Source organism: Homo sapiens, chromosome 14 (genome assembly GCF_000001405.40).
Source record: "Homo sapiens chromosome 14, GRCh38.p14 Primary Assembly".
Lineage (NCBI taxonomy): Eukaryota > Metazoa > Chordata > Mammalia > Primates > Hominidae > Homo > Homo sapiens.
Window position 1 is genome coordinate 101,403,395 of NC_000014.9, and position 21,161 is coordinate 101,424,555.

At 41.5% G+C, this 21,161-nt stretch overlaps 1 long non-coding RNA gene across 1 annotated transcript, besides 4 other annotated features; it reads right to left on the reverse strand.

The window, feature by feature from the left end:
* Positions 1-2,592: 2,592 nt before the first annotated feature.
* LINC00524 (long intergenic non-protein coding RNA 524) lies at positions 2,593-4,528 on the reverse strand. Its single transcript, NR_126006.1, has 2 exons — positions 4,349-4,528; positions 2,593-2,830 (listed from the first exon to the last, which is right to left on the reverse strand). It is a non-coding gene; the product is annotated as a long intergenic non-protein coding RNA 524 (long non-coding RNA).
* Positions 4,148-4,869: an enhancer, noted in NCBI's record as "H3K4me1 hESC enhancer chr14:101873879-101874600 (GRCh37/hg19 assembly coordinates)". NCBI's record gives its function as "activates a minimal SCP1, AML or CMV promoter by ChIP-STARR-seq in naive H9 embryonic stem cells {active_cell/tissue: H9 hESC(naive)}" and the evidence as "EXISTENCE:reporter gene assay evidence [ECO:0000049][PMID:30033119]".
* Positions 4,870-5,593: an enhancer, noted in NCBI's record as "H3K4me1 hESC enhancer chr14:101874601-101875324 (GRCh37/hg19 assembly coordinates)". NCBI's record gives its function as "activates a minimal SCP1, AML or CMV promoter by ChIP-STARR-seq in naive H9 embryonic stem cells {active_cell/tissue: H9 hESC(naive)}" and the evidence as "EXISTENCE:reporter gene assay evidence [ECO:0000049][PMID:30033119]".
* Positions 5,594-6,315: an enhancer, noted in NCBI's record as "H3K4me1 hESC enhancer chr14:101875325-101876046 (GRCh37/hg19 assembly coordinates)". NCBI's record gives its function as "activates a minimal SCP1, AML or CMV promoter by ChIP-STARR-seq in naive H9 embryonic stem cells {active_cell/tissue: H9 hESC(naive)}" and the evidence as "EXISTENCE:reporter gene assay evidence [ECO:0000049][PMID:30033119]".
* Positions 9,378-9,672: an enhancer, noted in NCBI's record as "tiled region #3007; HepG2 Activating DNase matched - State 8:EnhW". NCBI's record gives its function as "activates a minimal TATA promoter and a strong SV40 promoter by Sharpr-MPRA in HepG2 cells {active_cell/tissue: HepG2}" and the evidence as "EXISTENCE:reporter gene assay evidence [ECO:0000049][PMID:27701403]".

Below are 21,161 nucleotides of genomic sequence, written 5' to 3' on the forward strand. Positions count from 1 at the left end.
CAGGGCCAGACAAGCTGCTCTGGCCCAATCTTCTCATTCTGTGGTCGACACACTGCGGCCCGGAGGGAGCAGAGGGTGGAATTTCCCAGGGTCACCCTTTGGAAGGATGCCGGAGCCAGACCCTGGCCTCCCCGAAGGAAAATAAAGCAGTGGCCCTGAGCCGGGGCCACAGAGCTCCATGTGGCCGGAGCAGGGCTGCGGTGGGAAGGGGAAGGATGGAGACTGGGGCACCCTCATCACCGGTTAAGGGGCTCTCCTGCCAGGCGCACGAGACAGAACATTCATGATGCTCTGAGACAGAGGAAAGAAGGTACGGACAGCAGGGAAGACTCTCTGCTCAGCCATCTTTCCAACATATTGTATTTAAACTATCAAATGCTTTAGCCAATCTGCAAAAAATAAATTCTTTGCACAGGGGGGTGAAATCTGGCTCTCTCCTCAGCAGAAGGCCCTTCTCCACGGCTCCCCTTGGCTCCCACAGAAAACACAGGGCAGCTTCTGCAGCTTCTCCACACCATATATCTAGAATTTACATAATCACAGGCAAATAAAACGATAAAAGCACACTCTTTCATAACAGGCACATTGTTACTATTATTATTCTTAAGGCAAATTAGCTTCTGATTATAGAGATTAGTCAAAACCATGATTCTGTTGATTGTGAGGTAGAACTGATTTTCTTTTCTTTCTTTTTTTTTTTTTTTCAACAAGGAGAAGAGCTGTTGTTTCGATGTCAGAAAATTACATAAAATGGTACTCAGAGAGAAATAAAGTTTCTGAAAGTCATTTAATTATCAGTTCTCTTGGAAGCGTTTAGGCATTCCAGCCTTTCGGTTGTTGTCTGTCTAGCCAAACATTTTACCCTCAAGTTTATTAACTGTTTGATTTTATTTTATTTAACCTCTTTCTTTTAAAAGTTTCTCCAATTTAAAATACCAATATTTTAGATATTTGTATGTGTTTATTGGGCTTTCTTCATCACTGAAATAATTCATACCTCTTTTGAACCAAAGAGATGCTTGTTCTTTCACCAGCATTTTTGATCAAAGACAACCAGGAAGGAAGCATCTCCTCCCTGGGCAAAATGGAGGATCCAAAACCATTAAGAGTCTGCTGCAAGATGTCACCACTCAGACTCAGAGAGCTTCTGGCTCCTCAGGGCAGCGCCAGGCACCAGAGGCTCCGTGAAAGCCCTTGGCAGGAGAGCAGCACTCACGTTGCTCCTCCCTGCCCCCTACCTGTTTTAATCATTAGTCCTCAGTTAGGTCCAGTGTCTGAGCCCTGCCTCCAGAGTTGAGTCCCGCCTCCTACCTCACCTGAACTAACTCTGAGGTTCCAACCTGGGGGTGATTTTGCCCTCTAGGGGACATCTCACAATGTGTGGAGATGGTGGAGGTTATCAGAATAGTGGGGAGGTGGTGGGAAGAGGCAGCGTTTGAGCCACAGGGCAGTCCCACCACAAAGAATGATCTGGCCCCCAATGTCAGTAGGGTCCCTGTTGAGAAACCCTGGTCTAATTGATCAGAAATGGTGGGTGAACTTTGAACAGATAACACCAGGGAGTCGTGCAGCTCTAGGGGAATCCTCTCGGACCCTGGAGTGCCCGATAGAAGCGGCGTGCACATGGGGACTCTGCCCAGATCCGAGTCCTTTTGTCCATCATGATGTCCCAGATTCCTGCTGTCATTTTGCATAGAATTAGACTGGAACATGCAAAAATATATACAATTGTTGATACCAAGATGTCTGAATTTAGGAAGAATTCCCAAACAGAAAGATCCCTCCCCCAAAATGTATGCATATAAACTTTTAAGGATGCAGATAAAATTGCCAGATGTCTTTCAATCTGATTACCTCACATGCTGGCCTGTATCCCAGATGTGAGATCCAGAGAAACGTGATGGAATGTGTCACTGTCTTCTTTTCACATCCTCTCCCAGATTTCATTAATCTGCTGATAGGTACTCATTAAAATACTAGTATTCGCCCTGGGACACAGTTTCATGAGATTACTTCACGACCGTTACAGGACATATTACAGTAAATGAATTTTCCTTCTTTTAGCATGGTGGATTAAAAAAATACATAATTTTGTGCCCCAGTCCTCAAAGAATTAAACATTTCAGCATATCTTACGACAGGATATTGGCAACGTTTTCTGTAATGGGTCAGATAGTAAATATTTTGGGCTTTGCAGGTCACGTGGTCTCTGTCGCAACTACTCAACAGTGCTATGGCAGGACAGAAGCAGCCATAGATGATGTGTAAATGAACAAGCTTGGCTGCATTCCAATAAAACTTTATTTACAAAAACAGGCTGTGGGAAGGACTTGGCCCGCAACCCTGGTTTGCCTACCTCTGTCTTACAACATAGATTTCCTGAAAATAATGCATCTAGGCAGAAAGAATAGGGGAAAGTTCAGAGTAAGACGTTGTAAAATATCGGCAAGAGTTCTCATCGTCTTACAAGAAGTAGCCTGTGTACAACTTAATATCAATCCAAGGAGGACCAAGAGGCATGCCGAAATGAGATTTAAAGGTTAAACAGAAATCTGGAGGGAAAGGAAGAATTGCAACCACACTGGCCAATGATCTAGTGTTGTTACTCTCATTTATTTGCTAAGTTTCCCTTTCAGTTTAAAGCACGGCATTTAATTCAGACATTGTCCTTCACTCCCCATGAGCCAATGAAAGAGGAGATGCGTGGGCTGTGGAGGGGCTGAGATGCTTGTGGACACCTGGGGCAGCGGCTGTGGGCTGTGGTCTCCCGGGCTGTGCAGGTCAGGAGGTCAGGAGGTCTCTGGAGAGAGGCATCATCATGGAGCTGGGCCTGCTGGAGAAAGGAGTTGGCCACGGACACCCCAAACACCCCGATTTGATCATGACACTTTCTGTGCATGGAACCCCACATGTACCCCTTAAAATTTTACCCTGTAAAATATTATGTATCAATACAAGAGAGCACCAAAGCAATCATCCTACTAGCCACCATATGCCATCCTAGCTTCTCCACAGTAACACGTCATTTACTCCTCAGAGCGGCTCAGCGAGGTAGGGCCTGCTGATGGTCCCTTTCACAGGTGAGAACACAGAGGCCCTGGGAAGCTGAGGGGTTTGCTAGAGATCAGGAAGCCAGGACTCGGGCTTGGGTGCTGGGCTCTGGGCCTGTGTGTCTGACTTCTCCGAGGGGGTGCTGCCTTCTCCTTTCCTCTCTTTCTCCCTAACCCCCCCACACTCAGCCACTAAGTATTTTTAGAATTATTACTATTTAGGTATCATCTATAAAACATGACATTTACCATTTTAACCATGTTTTCATGTATACTCCAGTGGCATCAAGTACATTCACACCATTGTGCAACCATCCCCACCACCCATCTCCAGAGCCCCCATTCAATAGAAACCCCCCCTTCTCCCCTCCCCCAGCTCCTGGCCACCACCATCCTGCTTTCTGTCTATGAATTTGACTGCTCAGGGTGTCTAGAGTGGAGTCCTGCAGAATGAGCCCTTTTGGGTAGAGGTGATTTCATTCAGCACAATGGCCTCAAGGTTCACTGGTACTGTAGCGCGTGTCAGGGTTTCCTTCCAGTTTAAAGTAGAATCCTCTGGTTGTTTGTCCATTACTCCATGGACACCTGGGTGGCTGCCACCTGTGCCCTGGTCTCTAAGAGCTGCTGGCACTCTCGCTCCTCCCTGGTCCCTTTCCTTGCTCACCTGCCCTCCCCTGGCTCGGCTCCTCCTCCCAGGCCTCCAGCCTGCCTTCCCGGCACCCCACGCCTGCTGCCTCGGGAATCTTGCCCAAACTCCAATCTGCTTGGGCCTCTCTTACTGGTAAACCCACAAGGATCCCCACCTTCAGCAAAAAAGAGTTCCAAAGGCTCCATGTAGGAGCCCAGGCCCCTCACTGACTGCCCTGGCCAGCCTCTCCAGTGTTGCCCCAACGGAGCCCTGCCCTATGTACCTACCCTTGTTTTCCTGAAAACCACACTCTTTCCTGCCTGGAGGACACCCTTCTCACCCTGGAGAGATTACCCTTCTAGAAACAAACCAAACACACCCTCTGCAGAGGCTCTGCCAGCCGCCTTCTCCAGGCAAGGCAGGCTGCCTGCCCCCACGCTCACGGCAGCTTCCTGGCATACTTGCTGCCTCGGTTTGTGCAAAAGCAAACCTGCAAGTCGCATACTTAGGGGATGGCCCGGGAAGCCCATAAGGATGTGGGAGAACAAGACAGGGAGGGCAAGAAGGACAATCACAGACTCATCCTGGAGCACATTCAACTGTGGGACACAGGAACTCATCCCTGAGACTGCCTGGAATGTAGCTCGGAACTGTCCCAACAGCTCCTAACCTTCCGAGGTTGATGGTCCCTCCTGGTTAACTCCGTGGCCAGCAAGAGGTCCCAGGAGGCCATCACTGCACACAGCAACCATCCACCATGCCTGCATGCAGGTGGCCTCTGGGTGGAACAGAGGGATGTGGGCAAAAATCTGGGATGACCGCAAGGGCGCCAGGCACACAGTGGGTTTGCGACTGTGGTATCTGCCTCTCCCACGGGAGGCAGACCCCATCACCAATTTCTCTCTGTACCCCCAGCCCATGGCAGGTTGGAGACATCTGAAAAAGGTAGCAAATGAGTCCATGAGTGGCTGTGTGGGAATGAGATGGACTGGGTCTTGGGAGAGAGGAGGCAGGAGTGGATGTTGGAAAGACAGGCTGCTGAGAGGAGAACACAGTGGCAGGGCAGGTGAGCAGCGGCCAGGGGCTCCCTCACACACTTCACCCCAGCCCCTGCGCCAGCCTCATCTGCCTGTCTCCCACCTGACCCTTTTGCCGTTCACCTCCGTCCTCTCTCTGCTGGGTTCTCAAGGCAATCGCACCTTGCCTAGCAACTGTTGCTACCGAAAGCCAACGTCCCTGGTATTCCAACAATAAAGCACAGCGCTCCGACTACAACTCCCAGATATTATTGAAAAGAAAGGCAGGTTTATTTCAAGGCCAGGAGGGGAGAGGATCTGCGTGTTGGAGGCTGGAGCAGCAGCGCATTCGATGGCCGGCCTGACAGCATGGCGAGCAGCTTGTGCTGGTGCGTCCTCCAGAAAAAGAATGCGCGCTCTCCAGGAGGTGATGGTCCCTGTTCATAAACTCCCTGTTGCTCCCTGTTCCCATTCAGCTGGGTCAACATGTGCCTGTAAATTCCTCCCGAAAGGGAAATCATAACAGCATCAGCAGCCCCAGAAATGACAAACAACTCAAGTATGGAAAGCCAGCTGCCAAGTATTCAACAGTACTCATGTTGCACCAGAAACAAAAAAAATCAGATAAGAAAAATAAACCCAGTTGTGTGCATAGTTCCTTAAATATGTATCCCATTTTGTGGTTCCTTCCAGTCTTCGGTGTAATGAATATATCCATTGGTTAGGGGTCACGGAATGGCAGGTCCTACCAGGCTGCCTTGGATTGGCGAACTGTGATGTTCTGCTTTCTCCCTTCTCTGAAGCATGGAGCGGTGCGAGACGTTCAGAACAGACAGCCACTGACATTAATTTTCCTGCTGGCCTCCTTGCTAAATTGTTTTATGACTTGTTTGCTGTGTCTTGGTTGCCCTATTGTGTTGAGTTGATTTGGCAGTGGTTATTTAAAACATGCTTTGTCATCCTCAGGATGAGTGGAGGATCCCGGGGGTCACTTTTGCACAACAAATGGTCATTGAGCTGAAGAACTGTCAGAGTCACCACCTCCACAGTCAAGTGGCAATGGAATCCGAAGACAGGGTCAGCTCGGTACACCACGAGCCGAGATCCACGGGACGGACGGTGTGCAGGCACCAAAGCGTGGACAGGCCATGCTTTGCTTAACAGCATGGGGCTGGCCACGGCACCAGGGCCTCTGCCAGCCTCACGAGGCCCCTCCTGGCGTGGCCATAAAAGCCACAGCTGCAAACGCTGACACGGCAAGAAAAGAATATGGTGAGAAACCAGCTTTTGCCTTTGCTTCTCAGACTCCTCGGAAGATCCGAAGGGCACTTTCCCATCCCCAGGAATGAGAGGCCAGATTCCTCCATGGTCCAGTCAGGAAATGTAATCAAGCATCAACGCGGAGCCAGGATCTGTGCCTCAAACTTGAAACGTGGCCCTATCTTCAAGGGTGCTCACACTCAGATGACTTAAACCAAAAATGACACGGTGTGGCCTGCACTTGCCCATGCCATAGTCAGGAAAGCCTAGTCAAGGACAACGCAAGCCCAGAGGAAGAGGGTCTAAACCCAGCCGAGAACAGCCACCCAGAGCAGAGGCCCTCCCCTGAGAGAAAGCCACCTGCTCTCAGCCATCCCTCTTCTTTCCCTACGAGCTCCAGGAGACAGAAACCATGATGCTTAGGTAGACATCAATCTGTTATGGCAGGCACCAGAATGTTTCTTCTCCTGTGTCCCATCAGGAGTCAAAACTGATCTCAGCCTGGGCAATGTAGCAAGACCTCATCTCTACAAAAGATAAAAAGGTTAGCCGGGTGTGGTGGGGTGCGCCTGTAGTCCCAGCTACTCTGGGGGCTGGGGTGGAAGGATCGCTTGAGCCTGGGAGGTTGAGACTGCAGTGAGCCGAAATCATACCACTGCACTCCAGCCTGAGTGACAGAGCAAGCCCCTGTCTCAAAAAAAAGAAGAAGAAAAGTGATATCTCTGCTACTGAGGACAAACATCATGCACCCTTTCTTCTTAAAGAGGAGCAAATTTCCCACTTCCAAGTCCTGTTAGTGAAAGTCCCGGAGGAGCCCCAGCCTGAGCCATAGCAGGAGAGTCGCAGAGAGATGAAAGGGTCTGTCCCCAGCCCACTGTGGCCTCCAGAGGTAGCATCTTCTGCTCAGCAGCAGAACAAACATTTCCATGGAGCAGCTAAGTTGAAAAGCCCCCAGGAGGCAAGGGTAGGAGTTACAAGAAACCAGAAAGTCTACGGCAAGGTCAGGGTGACTCGGGTGGGGTTTCTCTTGCTTCCCCTTTCAATAGCATTCATGAAGTGGCTGAAAGTCTTCATCTTGTTATTAGCTTTGCTTTCTGGCCTCGTTTATCTCTAATTGTTTTCCTAAGCCTTGAAGAGGAAATTCTGTTTTCTTTCTGGTCCTGCTTACATTTAAATCCACTTAAGTTTCTGTCTGTGGCTTTCTTCTCAAAAGGGCCACCGGCTCCCTGGGGGACAAGCATCCTCCTTATAAAGTTGAAGGGAACTGGGAAGATCTTGAAAGACTTCTCTATTGTTCATGCAGACAAGTTGTGGGAATTTATTTCTGTGGGTCTGTTTCCTCTTTGTTCAGGGGGCCCCATTCTTCTCCAATTATCTGCCTATACCAGAGAGTATTTTCAGAATCTGTGCAGGATGTTTTAGACTGAATAAGGACAAGCATTGAGGGAGGTTGATATTTTGCTAATAATAACAGTGGAAAAAGGTACCATTTCTGAAGCACCTACTGTGTGCTGGAACCTTCTGTGTGCATCACATTTTAACCCTCTCAACTCTCCAGGAATGTATTATGACACCTACTCTATAGATTCAAAAACTGAAGGGCAGAGATGTAAAGAACTTGCCAGAGTTACCAGCAGTGAGAGAACCAGGGGTCAAACCCAAGATTGACCCAAGCTCCTGCTGACCCCACGATTTCACGTGGCGCCCAGTGAAACTGTAAGCAAAGCACCACTCCACAAATGCCTCACTCATCTCCACACCCACCTGACACAGTCATTGGATTTTAGGACACGCATCCTTCTTTCAAAGTTCAGGAATGTTCACAAGCAAGTCAAAATTCATTTTGAAAGCTCCTTTGACTTGACCGAAGACGCCCCAAGATGTCACCAAAAGCCAAGGATGGGAAGCCCTGTTCTATCAAGGTGCTGAAACCCAGTCCTGGGGAGTGTTTGACTTGGGAAGTAGGCTGCCCTCCTTCTGCTCACCGTGGGCAGGGACCAGAGAGAGGGTCTGGGATTCAATACGAGCCTGATGGGGGTTCTGCCATGGGGTGTTGGACGGGGGCGTTCGACAAACCAGTGCAGGCTCAAACCCTGCTCCTCTTGCCCCCAGCCCCAAGAGTCACCGAGAAAACAAACACAGTAAGTCTTTCTTAAACCTCCCACCAAGCAAGGGTGCAAAGGAAGACCATGGGCCTCAGCGTGAATGCCCACGCACCACAGCTCTTGGCATGGGTCCCCCTGCCTGCCACATGTTACCACCACTCGCTTTGAAGAACAGCGTGTTCATCAGCACTCACGAGGCTTAACAGCCACAGTTTAACCTAGTAATGCCCAGCCCCCACAGCAGGCTAGTCATCATGGTCAGTGAGAAACAGCCAGACTTTTCACGCAGATGGGCATTTTCGGGGCCAGTCTCTGCACTCTCCAAGCAGGAGCTGGTTGGAGTCTCTGCAGGCTCAGGCCCAAGACGGGTGGCCTTCCCAGCAGCTTCGCCATATCAGCTGCCACGTGCTATACCGATGTCCTTCGAGGCTCATCCTAGGACTTCATCAAAACCGTTTTTGCAGATGCCAGGACTGTAATATTCACCACTTCCCCCAACCAGCACATGACCTTGATGGAGCTGGAATCAGCCAGATCCAAACAAACTGGGCGCAACGTCTGCTCTCCAGCTGCACTGTGCTTGGGGTGCACTCAGGGGTTTGTTCAGCTCCCCCGCCAAAGAATTGGAGAAGTCGTATTTCACATATAAATATATTTTACTTCTCAGTTCACTAACATCAGCCTCTCATAAACTCACTAAATGAAAAGCTGCAAGAATCACTTTGTTATGGATATGTAAAATGACATATTGCATTGGCTAATTATTTCTCTATGGAATGAACAGCCCCATGACTTTCAGGGGCCCCAAAAGAGAACGCTCTACAACAGAAGCACAAGGTCATTCTTTAGTGGGCAGGTAATTGGGAACTCCATGCTAGGCTGTGGCTTATTAGGGATTTGCGGTTCCCCTCAATGCACATTAACTGAAAAGCTGGACAGTATCTAGAGCAGGCGTGCCTTCCATGGCAACAGCATCTCCGTCTTCCCAGTGCATATGGCTGTCAAAGTCCTTGTCAGGTACCAGTTCAGAAACACATAACCCATCCTGGTATTTTTGTAGTTTCACACATCTAGTGGACTACTTGTTTGCAATAACATCATCTGGTGAGCTTTTGAGGATTTGATTCTGTGGCACTTCTTGAGGAATACATTTTTTAATATCCTTTAATTTTTGCCTAAGGACTTGGCTGAATCCAAGTTAGATCCACATGTAACCTTTTTAAGGAAGGCTAAATTGAGACAGAAAGGCCAAGATTTTTCTCCGAGTAGAAATGGATATTTATTACTTAAGAAATTGCCTAAATGTTGCTATCGAGGCTTTATAAAGACTCACTTGGTGTACTGGGGAAAAAACACACAAAGCAAAACTAGTCCACTGATTCTGTACCAATTACAATGTTTGCCTTAGGTGAATTGCCAATCTATGAGTCATATTTGTCTATATCACTCTGCCCAGGGTCAAGAGAAGTGTCTCAAATAAGCAGGATGTGGAAAAGCGTTTGATCACGGTGGCGATGCCGAGGTGGGGAAAATTCCAGTGATAACCTCTGAGGAAAATAAGCCATTTCTTACAACTAAATCCTTTCTGTCATTTCTAAAATGAAAATTAGGAGCTTATCAAAATGTAACATAGCTTAACTATCAAGATCAATTAGAGATGGAAATAATTGGGTAGCTAGTGTTCTCTACAGAAAGCCAGTGTGTAAGGAAACAGTAGTGTTATTTGTAGGAGGCATTTAATTATTTCCAAGTTGTGGGACAAGTAATAAACAAGGGTACATTTCTGGCTGTAGAATTTTGATCTATAAATGTCCTTTGAGGAATCAGCTTGTTAGGTGTATTAGTCTGTTCTCACACTGCTGATAAAGACATACCCGAGATTGAGTAACTTATAAAGGAAAGACATTAAATGGACTCACACTTCCACGTGGCTGGGGAGGCCTCATAATCATGGCAGAATGTGAATGAGAAGCAAAGTCAGGTGTCACATGGCGGCAGGCAAGAGAGTTTGTGCAGGGGAACTCCCCTTTGCAAAACCGTCAGACCTTGTGAGACTTATTCACTATCACGAGAACAGCACAGGAAAGACCCGCTCCTCATGATTTAATTACCTCCCACGTGGTCCCTGCCACCACATATGGGAATTATGGGAGCTACAATTCAAGATGAGATTTAGGTGGGGACACAGCCAAACCATATCATTAGCTTTTCAAAGATTGTACTTTCAATTATGATCAAGGTTCCATCTTAGAAAAAGAAAGCAAATGAATAAAATAATGGTCTTAAAACCAAATTCCAAATTTTGGTTGCTTCAAGGCGTAAGGTCTTACAAACCATGTTTGGAACGATGGTGGATAGTTCTTTGATGACTGACAAAGAGTTATAAATTTCTTCTGTCACCTTACAGTAGAAGGAGAATCAGAACTGATTTTTTTTTCCTTCAAAAATTCCCCGCTGGGGACAATGACCTCTTCCACAGCTTTAGTGTGCACACTCATGTACAATTTGAACAAGCAAGCCATGCCTTCTACCCCCCAGTGGCATCCCTGCATTCCTCAACACACCAAAGGGATCTGGAGACAACAAAGGGGTCAGCAGATACAGGTCTTTCTATAACTTAGTGATACGTGTACCAAGATAGCTGTTTTTTCAGGGGAGGAGGAGGATATTTAAGATATTTTAAACATCTTTTTAAAAAATTGGATGGTACCAAAAGATAGAGAATTGTATCTTCCCTATCCCTAGAGACTCATGCCTTCTTCCAGAATGTCATGTTACCTGATTTTCTGTTTGCACCGGGTTGAATAGTAACCCCAAAATTCATGTCTATCTGGAATCTCAGAATGTGACTTTCTCTGGCAATAGGGTCTTTGCAGATGCAATTAGTTCAGATGAGGTTATAGTGGGTTAGGTCAGACCCCAAATCCAATGACTGGAGTCCCCATAAGTAGAAGAGATAGACACAGGGAGACAGAGGCACAGAGGGAAGAAGGTGGCGTGTTAGTGGAGCCAAAGACCAGAGCTGTGAAGCTGAGGAGCACTGAGGCTTGCTGGCAATGCCGGAAACTGGGTCGAGGCGTCCTCAGGGAGCACAGCCCTGCTGATGCCTTGACTTCAGACTTCTGGTCTCCAGAACTGTGACAATATCCATTTCTGTCGTGTTCAGCTCCCAGTTTGTGGTCATCTGTCACGGCAGCCCTCGGAACCTAATCCGCTGCTGAAAACATGCCCCTTACTGATGTGCTGAACCCTATTCCCATATTTGGACAAAGAAATGGAATCATGTGGCATGACCAAAACCATCTGCATCTTTAGCAGGGGCGGCATCCTAGGCTGCATGTTAGGATCTCCTGGGGTTTTTTTAATTTTAAATCCCACTGCCCAAGCTGCACCCCAACCCAATTAAATCAGAAACTCTGGAGGTAGACTCAGACCTGGGTATTTTTAACCCTCCCTGGGTCATTCCAGTGTGCAGCCAAGACCGTGAGAACCACTGATCTCTAGGATGCAGCAGCGTGGTTTTCTCACAAAACCACTGGCTTCAGAGTTAGTCAAGTTTTGGGTTAATTTCTTGTTTTGCTACCTCCTAGCTGTGTCCTTGGGCAAGTCATTTAATGTATCTGATATTTACTTTCTCCCATCTGCAATGAGATTGTGAGGATCCGTCTTTTTAAGCATGTAAAATATCTGAAAATGCCTGGCTCAAAGTAGACAGCAAATAAATGTCATTTTCTTTTCATTCTCCCGACACATAGAGGGACAATTTCAAAGGACATGTAAGAATCCAGGCTGTAGAGTGAGGCTGTGAGAATCAAATCCTGACTCCACCACCTACTAGCTGTAAAACCATGGGAACTTCTCAGTGCCCAGTTTCCTCACCTATAAAATGGGGCCTCAGAGAGCCATTATGAGGTTTACATGGGATAATAAGGTAATTTGACCCAGGTAAAGCACTTAGAATAGTACCTGGCTCATTGAAGCATTCATTAAATGTTAGCTCATATTGTAGATTTACATTATAGACATTATCTGACAACACTCTGCACAGCCCGCCCCCCCTTGGAAATGTGAACTTCATGTGGTACATTTTAGCATTGCTTCTCTTCGCCGTCCAGAGCAACATGATATACACAAAAGAGTCAGTAGACAGCAGTCCGGAGACTTGAGCTCTGAGCTCCGCTGAGATGCCACTAAGCTTCAGGATGGAAGACAACACTTTTCTCTATGCCTCATTCCAGGACTCAAATTATAAAAGAAAGGGTTTACTAAGCTGATCCCTATGGTTCCTTCTAGCATATAAAAGTTATGATCATCTGAATATTATAAAGCAATAGATGAAGTTTGGGCTGTGTTTAGTAAACAATCTCTATGTTTTTATGGTTAGGATTTTATTCTGAGGCTAGAATTCACACAAAAACGTCCAGTATCGACAGAGAAGGAATCCAATCCATTTCATTGGAACAAAGAACAGCCTTAGAGATTTTTCAAGAAGTTTCAGGCCGAGTCACCCAGTCTCCCAGTCTACCGTATAACTGCTGGTTGAAGCTGGAGAGAAGACATTAGTGGCTCATGCACAAACTTTAAAGCTTAATTTATGTGAGAACATAAATTGATACAACCTCACTACTATGAGATTAAATAATATGTATCAATAGTCTAAACAATACACAGTAATTATGTTTCTAGGAATCTCTCCTGAGGAAATACAATTAAAGTGGGAAATTAGATAATAGGGATTAGTAGTCTACAATAGTCTAAACTATACAAAGTAATTACATTTCTAAGACTCCTGAGGAAACACAATTAAAGTATCCTTTTTTCATGCTTTTGGGACCAGCAATTGGAGAATCTGCCCAGCTCATTGAAAAGCCAGTTAAATAGGGAAATCTTAAACAATGGTGCAAATATACCATAAATACGTTGTTATAAGTTACAATATAAAAATATGAATTTTCTCACCAGTCTTGCAATAAAGGACCAAGGCTCTTCTCTGAGTATCACTCATGTTCTGATTGGAATTATGTGCCCTCTTTCTTGCACAAAACACGCCTATATAATTCATGCTCTTAATTTTGAGTTTTGGTTTCTTTAAAGTGGAACACAAACTTAAATATTTGGAGGACAATGTGACAGTAGACACTTTCTCCATTTTACCATTTTATTTTCTCAAATTGTTCAGTTTCCTGGCTCATAATCTAGTTTTATAGCAACTGTATTATTACTTCACTTTATTGCATCTCCCCAAAGCATTCTACTTAGTTTTTATAGTTTATATGGAAGCAACCACCCTCTTTCTTTTCTCACTCATATTTCACAGGTTAGTATTCCAACCAATGACATCACAACAACTGTCATAAACAGGTTTGAGAACAAACACGGTAATTAACTCTTGGTAAGCCCATATTCCAAATAGTGGGAGAAGGAAGACTGAGGCTTCCCGATGCAAGCGGCATATTTACCGAAGGCATAGAAGACGTCAGCGAATCCAGCAAAACAATGCAGGGAAACAGTGATTATGAGGGTTCCTTCTGTAGTCAAATATGTCATCAAAGGTTTATGTTTAAAGATGTTTGAACATCTGGAATAGTAACTGATGCTGGCAGAAATATAGAAACTATATAAGTTTACAATGAGAAAATAGCTAAGTAACATAAAACATATGATGAAATGGTATGTAGACATCAAAAACTGCATTTTAAAAACTATTTTATGATATAGAAGATGCCCATATTATGATCTAATGTATAATTCAATAAAGATTTACCAAGCAATAGAAAATTTTGTAAATTCTGAAAAAAAAGTCTATTTTCTATCTTTCTTATAAAAACCAAAGTGGGCCAGGACTTGGAAAACGGGACTGATGTCATGTTGAACTCCTCGCTTCCTTTGACCTTGATCTATTTGGAGTTTAGGCATTGTTTTTAAGAAGAAAACATGCCGCGCAGGTTCTCTAATAATAAAATGCACATAACCTCAAGAAAAGGTGGGGTCATTTTTCTTCTTATATGGCCAAGTAAGCTTCTCCTAGACCTTCCTGCAGATAACCACTATCAACTTTGGATAAAAATATAAAATAAGGCTTCTGTTCACTAGACTGTGAGTAAAAAGCAGGAAGACTCTAGCAGCAAGCTAGAGGAAAAAAAATGCCAAGAGGTGAAATTCCCATTTTTATAGCTTTTAGCCTGAGGGCATGTCAAAGTTGTCACCATGTAAGTGAGTGAATCTCTAAAAGAAAACGTTTTGTTTTTCTGGGCTGAAGACAACAGAGTTCAGAACAACTAGGGTCACTGGAGGATGAGGGAGTAATTCTGGAAAAGAGACAAGCACAGAAGAAGCACCCCAAATTTTCTAAGTGAAATCTGAACCTTATATGTGAGAGGTGGATTCAAAGCAGCTAAACTAAGTGTAAAAAACTGAACTAAAATTCAAACTGCTCCAGGGGAAAGAGTTTTCAGTTTGAGTCCAATCAAATTAATTATCTGCCCTTTGAAAAAATCAGTGTTCTTCCGAGAAATATAACAGAATCCAGATGGCATTCACAATGTCCAGGATACGATCCAAAATTACACAACAGAGGAGAGACAAGAAAATGACCTATCCACAAGGGAAAAATAATAGATGAAGACCAATTCTAAAATGACCCAAATGTAAAAATTATTAAACGAGAATTTAAAAGTAAGGACAGAAGTGAAAATATGTTCTCCATGCCTGTAAAGATGGAAAGCATCATCAGATAAATAGAAATTATAAAAAGGAATCAAATGAAAATTCTAGAGCATCAAAATACATGTATGATATTATAATGTTAGACACATGTCCTTGTACATTTGTCCAAATCCATATAATGTACAACACTGAGAATGAACCTTACTGTAAACTATGGACTTAGGTGATAGTGATGTATCAATGTAGGTTTATCAATTGTAATTAAAGTACCACTGTGGTGGGAGATGTTGATAACAGTGGAAGGTATACATGGGGGTGGAGGGTGGGCAGGGAGTATATGGAAAATCTCTCTATTTTGCTCTGAACGTAAAACTACTCTAAAAAGATAAGTATTTTCTTAAAATGCAACTTAAAAAATTCTTCATATGGACCCAATAGCAGAATGGATATGATAAAAGAGTCTGTGAACTTGAATATAGGCCAAGAGAACTTACTCAATCTGAAAAATGTAAAGAAAAAAGATTGGAAAAAATTAACAGAGCCTCACAAACCCCTGTGACAATACCAACAATCTACTATCAGTGTAAATGGTAGAATGGAGGGAAAAGTGAGAATAGGAAAAGAGGGAAACATTTTGAAAAAATAAGGACCAAAAAGTTTCCCAAATTTAATGAAAGACATAAATTTACAGATAAGAAAGTCAGAAAGCCTCGAGCAGAAAACTACAGAGAAAACCACACCCAATCACCCATAGTCAAACAGTTCCAAAGCAAAGAGAAAGAGAAAATCTTGAAAGCAACTGGAGAAAAACAAAACATAATGGACAGAAGAACACCACATCAAATGACCCAGTTTATCATTACAGAAGGCCAGAATATACTAGAACAATATATTTAAAGTTCTAAATGAAAAACTTTAAAAACCTATTAACCCAGAATCTGATACCAAATGAACATATCCTTCAAGGATTAAGACAAAATAAAAACAAGTTCATATAAGAGATAGCTGACAAATCACTGACAGCAGATCTCTACAGGAAGTTCTTTATTCTGAAGGGAAATCATATCACATGGAAATTCAGATCTTCTGCAGAAAAGGCAATCTACTGGAAATGGTGAATATATAAAATACCTGGGAAGTATAGAAAACTTTTCTTCTTGATTTGTTTAAAAATATGCACAACTGGCCAGGCTTGGTGGCTCACGCCTGTAATCCCAGCACTTTGGGAGGCCAAGGTAGGCAGATCACTTGAGCTCAGGAGTTTGAGACCAGCCTGGGTAACATGGTGAAACCTCGTCTCTACAAAAAATACAAAAATTTGCTGGGCATGGTGGCACAAACCTGTAGTCCCAGTTACTCGGGAGGCTGAGGCAGGAGGATCGCTTGAGCCCAGGAGGCAGAGGTTGCAGTGAGCCAAAATCACACCACTGCACTCCAGCCTGGGTGACAGAGTCAGACCCTGTCTCAAAAATAAAATAAAATAAAATAATATATATATAAAATTAAATAAAATAAAACAAAATTTTATATTATATAAATAATATAAAATTATATTTTATATTATATAAATAATATAAAATTATATTTTATATTATATAAATAATATAAAATTATATTTTATATTATATAAATAATATAAAATTATATTTTATATTATATAAATAATATAAAATTATATTTTATATTATATAAATAATATAAAATTATATTTTATATTATATAAATAATATAAAATTATATTTTATATTATATAAATAATATAAAATTATATTTTATATATAATAAAATAAAATATATATAAAATAGCTTATATATATAAAGCTATTTAAGTGAAAATTATAGCATTGTCGGGTTGGGTTTACACTGTAAATGTAATGTGTACAGTAACTACAGTATGAAGTAAATGGAGATAAATGAAGCAATGTAGCTGCAAAGTTTCCACATTTTACATGGTGAGCTACAATATTAACACTAAGTGGACTGTGATAAGTTAAGGAGGCATATTGTAATCTTTAGAGAAATCATTAAAAATACAGAAATAAATGGCTTAAAAGTCAATAGATAAATTAAGCTGAAATTATTTTTAAAAATCAAATAATTTAAAAAGAAGGCTGAAGAGAAGACTGGAGGAACAAAAAACTACATAGGACAAAAAAGAAACAAACAAAAATGGTAGACCTCAATCCAACCATATAAAAATACTTTAAATGAGTAAATAATTAGAAGGCAGAACTAGAATAGAAGGAAGAACTAGAATAGAAATAGAATTTTAAAAGGAAAAAATCCTGGACCCATCTATAAACCGTCTGTAAGAGAAGCACATTTTTAAATATAAAGATACAGATAGGTTGAAAGTAAATGAGTGGAAAAAATCTACATTATTATATGGAAGCATAAGAAGGCTGGAGTGAATATGTTAATATCAGATAAAATAGGCTTCAAGAATTGCGGCCGGATGTGGTGGCTTATGCCTTTAGTCCCAGCACTTTGGGAGGCTGAGGTGGATGGATCACCTGAGATCAAGAGTTCGAGACCAGCCTGGCCAATATGGTGAAACCCCGTCTCTACTAAAAATACAAAAATTAGCCAGGCATGGTGGTGGGTGCCTGCAATCCTAGTTACTTGGGAGGCTGAAGCAGGAGAACTGAGGAGGCGGAGGTTGCGGTGAGCTGAGATCATGCCACTGCCATCCAGCCTGGCTGACAAGAGCAAAGCTCCATCTCAAAAAATTAAAAAAAAAAAAAAAAGAATTGAATATTTTACAGACAATTACACCCCAAACCTGGAGAATATATTTCTTTTCAAATGTACATGGTATATTCATCAATACATAAAACATAAGACAAGTCTCACTAGAATCATATGAAGTATGTTCTCTGACTACAAACGAATTAGAAATCAAACAACAATAAAATATCTAGAAAATCCCAAATACTTAAAAACTAAACAACACACTTCTAAATAATGTATGGGTCAAAGAATAAGTCACAAGAGAAATGGGGAAATATTTGAACGGAATGATAATAAAAACACATAAAAATTTGTGGAATTGACCTAGATCTGTGCTTAGGAAGAAATTAATAGTTTTAAATGTTTATATTTGAAAAGAAGAGAGATCTAAAATCAAGAATCCAAGGTTCCAACTAAAGGCACTAGAAAAAGAGGAGCAAAGGAAACTCACAAAGTTAGTAGACAGAAGTAAATACTAAACATAACAGCAGGAATCAATGCAATTAGAAAACAAAAAGTACCAAAAAATGTAATCAAAAGCTTGTTTTTGAAAGATAAATATGAGTTGTATACCTCTAGTTATTCTGATCAATAAAATAGAAAGGGCACAAATTAACAATATTAAGAATGACATGGGAGACATCCCTGCAGGTGCCATGGATATTAAAGATATAGTAAAAGACTATGCTAACTTTAAATTAACACATTGGACAACTTAGATGAAATGGACAAATTCTTTAAAACAGAAAATCTCAATACTCATATATTTATCAAGAAATTAGCTTCTTTATCAAAAACATCTTCACAAAGAAAACTTCAGACCCAGATAGCTTTATTAGTTAATTCTATCAATACTTAAGGAAATAATAACACCAACCACATAAAATTCTTCCTAAAACTAGAGGAGGAAACCTTTCCTAACTTGTTTTATGAGGCCACAGAAACCCTAAAATCAAAGCCTAACAAAGATGTTACAAAATAAAAGAAAATTATAGGCCAATATCATTCACGAACATAGATGCAAAATGCTTAACAAAATATTAGTAAACAGAATACAATATGTAAAAAAGATAGTATATCATGATGAAGTGGGGACATATCCCAGAAATTTAAGGTTAAATTAACATTCAAAAATCAATCAGTGTAATTCATATTATTAACAGACGGAAAGAGACAAACCATATGATCATTTCAACAGATGCAGAATAAACATTTAACAAAACTCCACATTCATTTATGAGAAAAATTAGAAATAACGTTATACATAGGGCTATCATATTTAATGATGAAAGATTTCAACTTCTCCTGTTAAGATACGGAAAAAGGCAAGGATGCCCACTTCCACCATTCTTACTCAACATTGCACTGGAGGTTCTAGCCAGTACAATAAGATGACAAAAGTAAGTAAATAAACAAGTAAACAAAGTCATCCAGAGTAAAAAGGAAGAAGTAAACTGTATCTATTTTTAGATAACATAATTGTTTACATAGAAAAATCCAATAGAATCAACCAAACCACCACTAGAACTAATTCATGAATTTAGCAGTTTGGTAGAATCTATCCTTCTACCAAAGGATAGAAGGTAAACATGCAAAAATCAAATTTATTTAAAAAATAAATTTAAAAAATAATTCCACTTATAATACTATCAAAAAACTTAAGATACATAGGGACAAATTTAACAAAATATGTTCAAGACTAGTACTCTGAAAATTACAAAACATTTTGGAAGAAATTATAGAAGGTATAAATAAGTGGAGAGATATACCATAATAATGGGCCAGAAGACTAACATGTCAATTCTCTCCAAATTGATCTATAGATTCAATGTGATCCCAATTTTAACCTGCACCTGTTTTGTGGGAATTAATACGTTTATTCCAAAAATCTATATGGAAATGCAATGAACCTGCAGCTGCACCATACATTATGGTGGCCAATAACTACATGTGGCTACTTAGATTTCTACGTAGGTTAATGCAAATTAAATAAAATTAAAAATTAAGTTCCTCCACCACACTAACCACATTTCAAGGGCTAAATACTCACATGTGACTAGTGATTACTCTTCTTAAATGGTGTAGATGTGTAACATTTTTATCACTGCAGAAAGTTCTGTTGGACAGCACTGACCTCAAATAGCCAAAGCAACCTTGAAAAAAACCCCAAAAACAAAAAACTAGAGGACTTACATACACTACCTGACTTCAAAACATACTACAAATCTACAGTGGTCCAGACATTGTGGAATCACATAGACACAGGAGAAAATGTTCAGGACTTAAGAATAGGCAAAGGTTTATTTCACAAGTCACATGAAACAACCATAAAAGTAGAGGTAGACTTCATCAAAATTAGAATCTTCTGCTCATCAATAGACATTCTAAGGAAAATGAATAGGCAAGCCACAGTCTGAGAGAAAATATTTGTAAAACAAGCATCTGACATAGCACTAGTTCCCAGGAAACATAAGGAACCCCTCCAACCCAAAAATAAAAGCATAAATAACCCCTCTCCTCAAAAAACTGGAGTGAGCAAAGGTTTTAAAAAGAAATTTTCCAAAAGAAGATATGCAAATGTTCAATATACACAACAAACAGTTCTCAACATCATTAGAAATCAGGCATATGCAAATTAATCAGGCATATGCAAATTAAAACCACAATGATAATACCACTACACATCTATTCAAATAACTAAAATTAAAAACAATGAAAACACCAAGTGTTGGTAGGGTGCAGGGCAACTGGAACTCTCATACATTGTTGGTGAGAATGTAAAATGATACAGCCACTTTGGAAAAATACCTTGCAGTTTCCTAAAAAACTAATCACACACCTGTGACCCAGTAAGTCCACAACTAGATTTCTACTTAAAGAAAATAAAAACATACACTCATTCACAAAAAGACTTATGCAAAAGAAAATAGCAGATTTATTCATAATGGCCTGAAATTGTCCCTGTGTTCTTTAACAGAAAAACAGACGAACAATTTTTTTTATTATTATACTTTAAATTCTGGGGTACATGTTTAATATATTCATAAAACAGAAGAAGATTTAGCAACAAAAAAGACCAACTATTAATACATGGAACAAGATGGATAGATCTCAAAAATATGCTGAGTAAAAGAAGCAAGACCAAAAAAGGGGCATATACTGTATGGTTCCATTTATATGAAATTTTAGAAAAGGCAAAACTAAGCTATACGGTTAGTTAGCAGCGTCAGAAGAATTGTTGTCTCTGGGGATCTGAGGATGGGAACAACTTGGGAAGTAGCATGAGGAAAGTGTCTAAGTGATGGTAATGTTCTACATCTGGCTAGGCTTTGGATTGCAGAGTATGAACTTGTCAAAATTCAGTATATTCATTTACTACTGTTGCATAACAAATTACCACAAATGTAGAGACTTAAAACAGCACACATTTATTATCTCATAGTTTTTGTTAGTCAGAAGTCCAAACACAACTTCCTTGGGTCCTCTTCTCGGGATCTCACAAGCCTGCAATCAACATGATAACCAGGCTGTGTTCTCACTTGAAGGTTTGACTGGGGAAAAATCTTCCAAGTTCATTCAGGTTGTCAGAAGTCATTTCCTTGCAGCTACTAGGCTGAAGGCACTAGCTTTTAGCTGGGTATCATCTGGAGACCATACTTAGGTTCTAGAGCCCACAGTTCCTAGAAAGTGCCCTCCATCCTTTGCA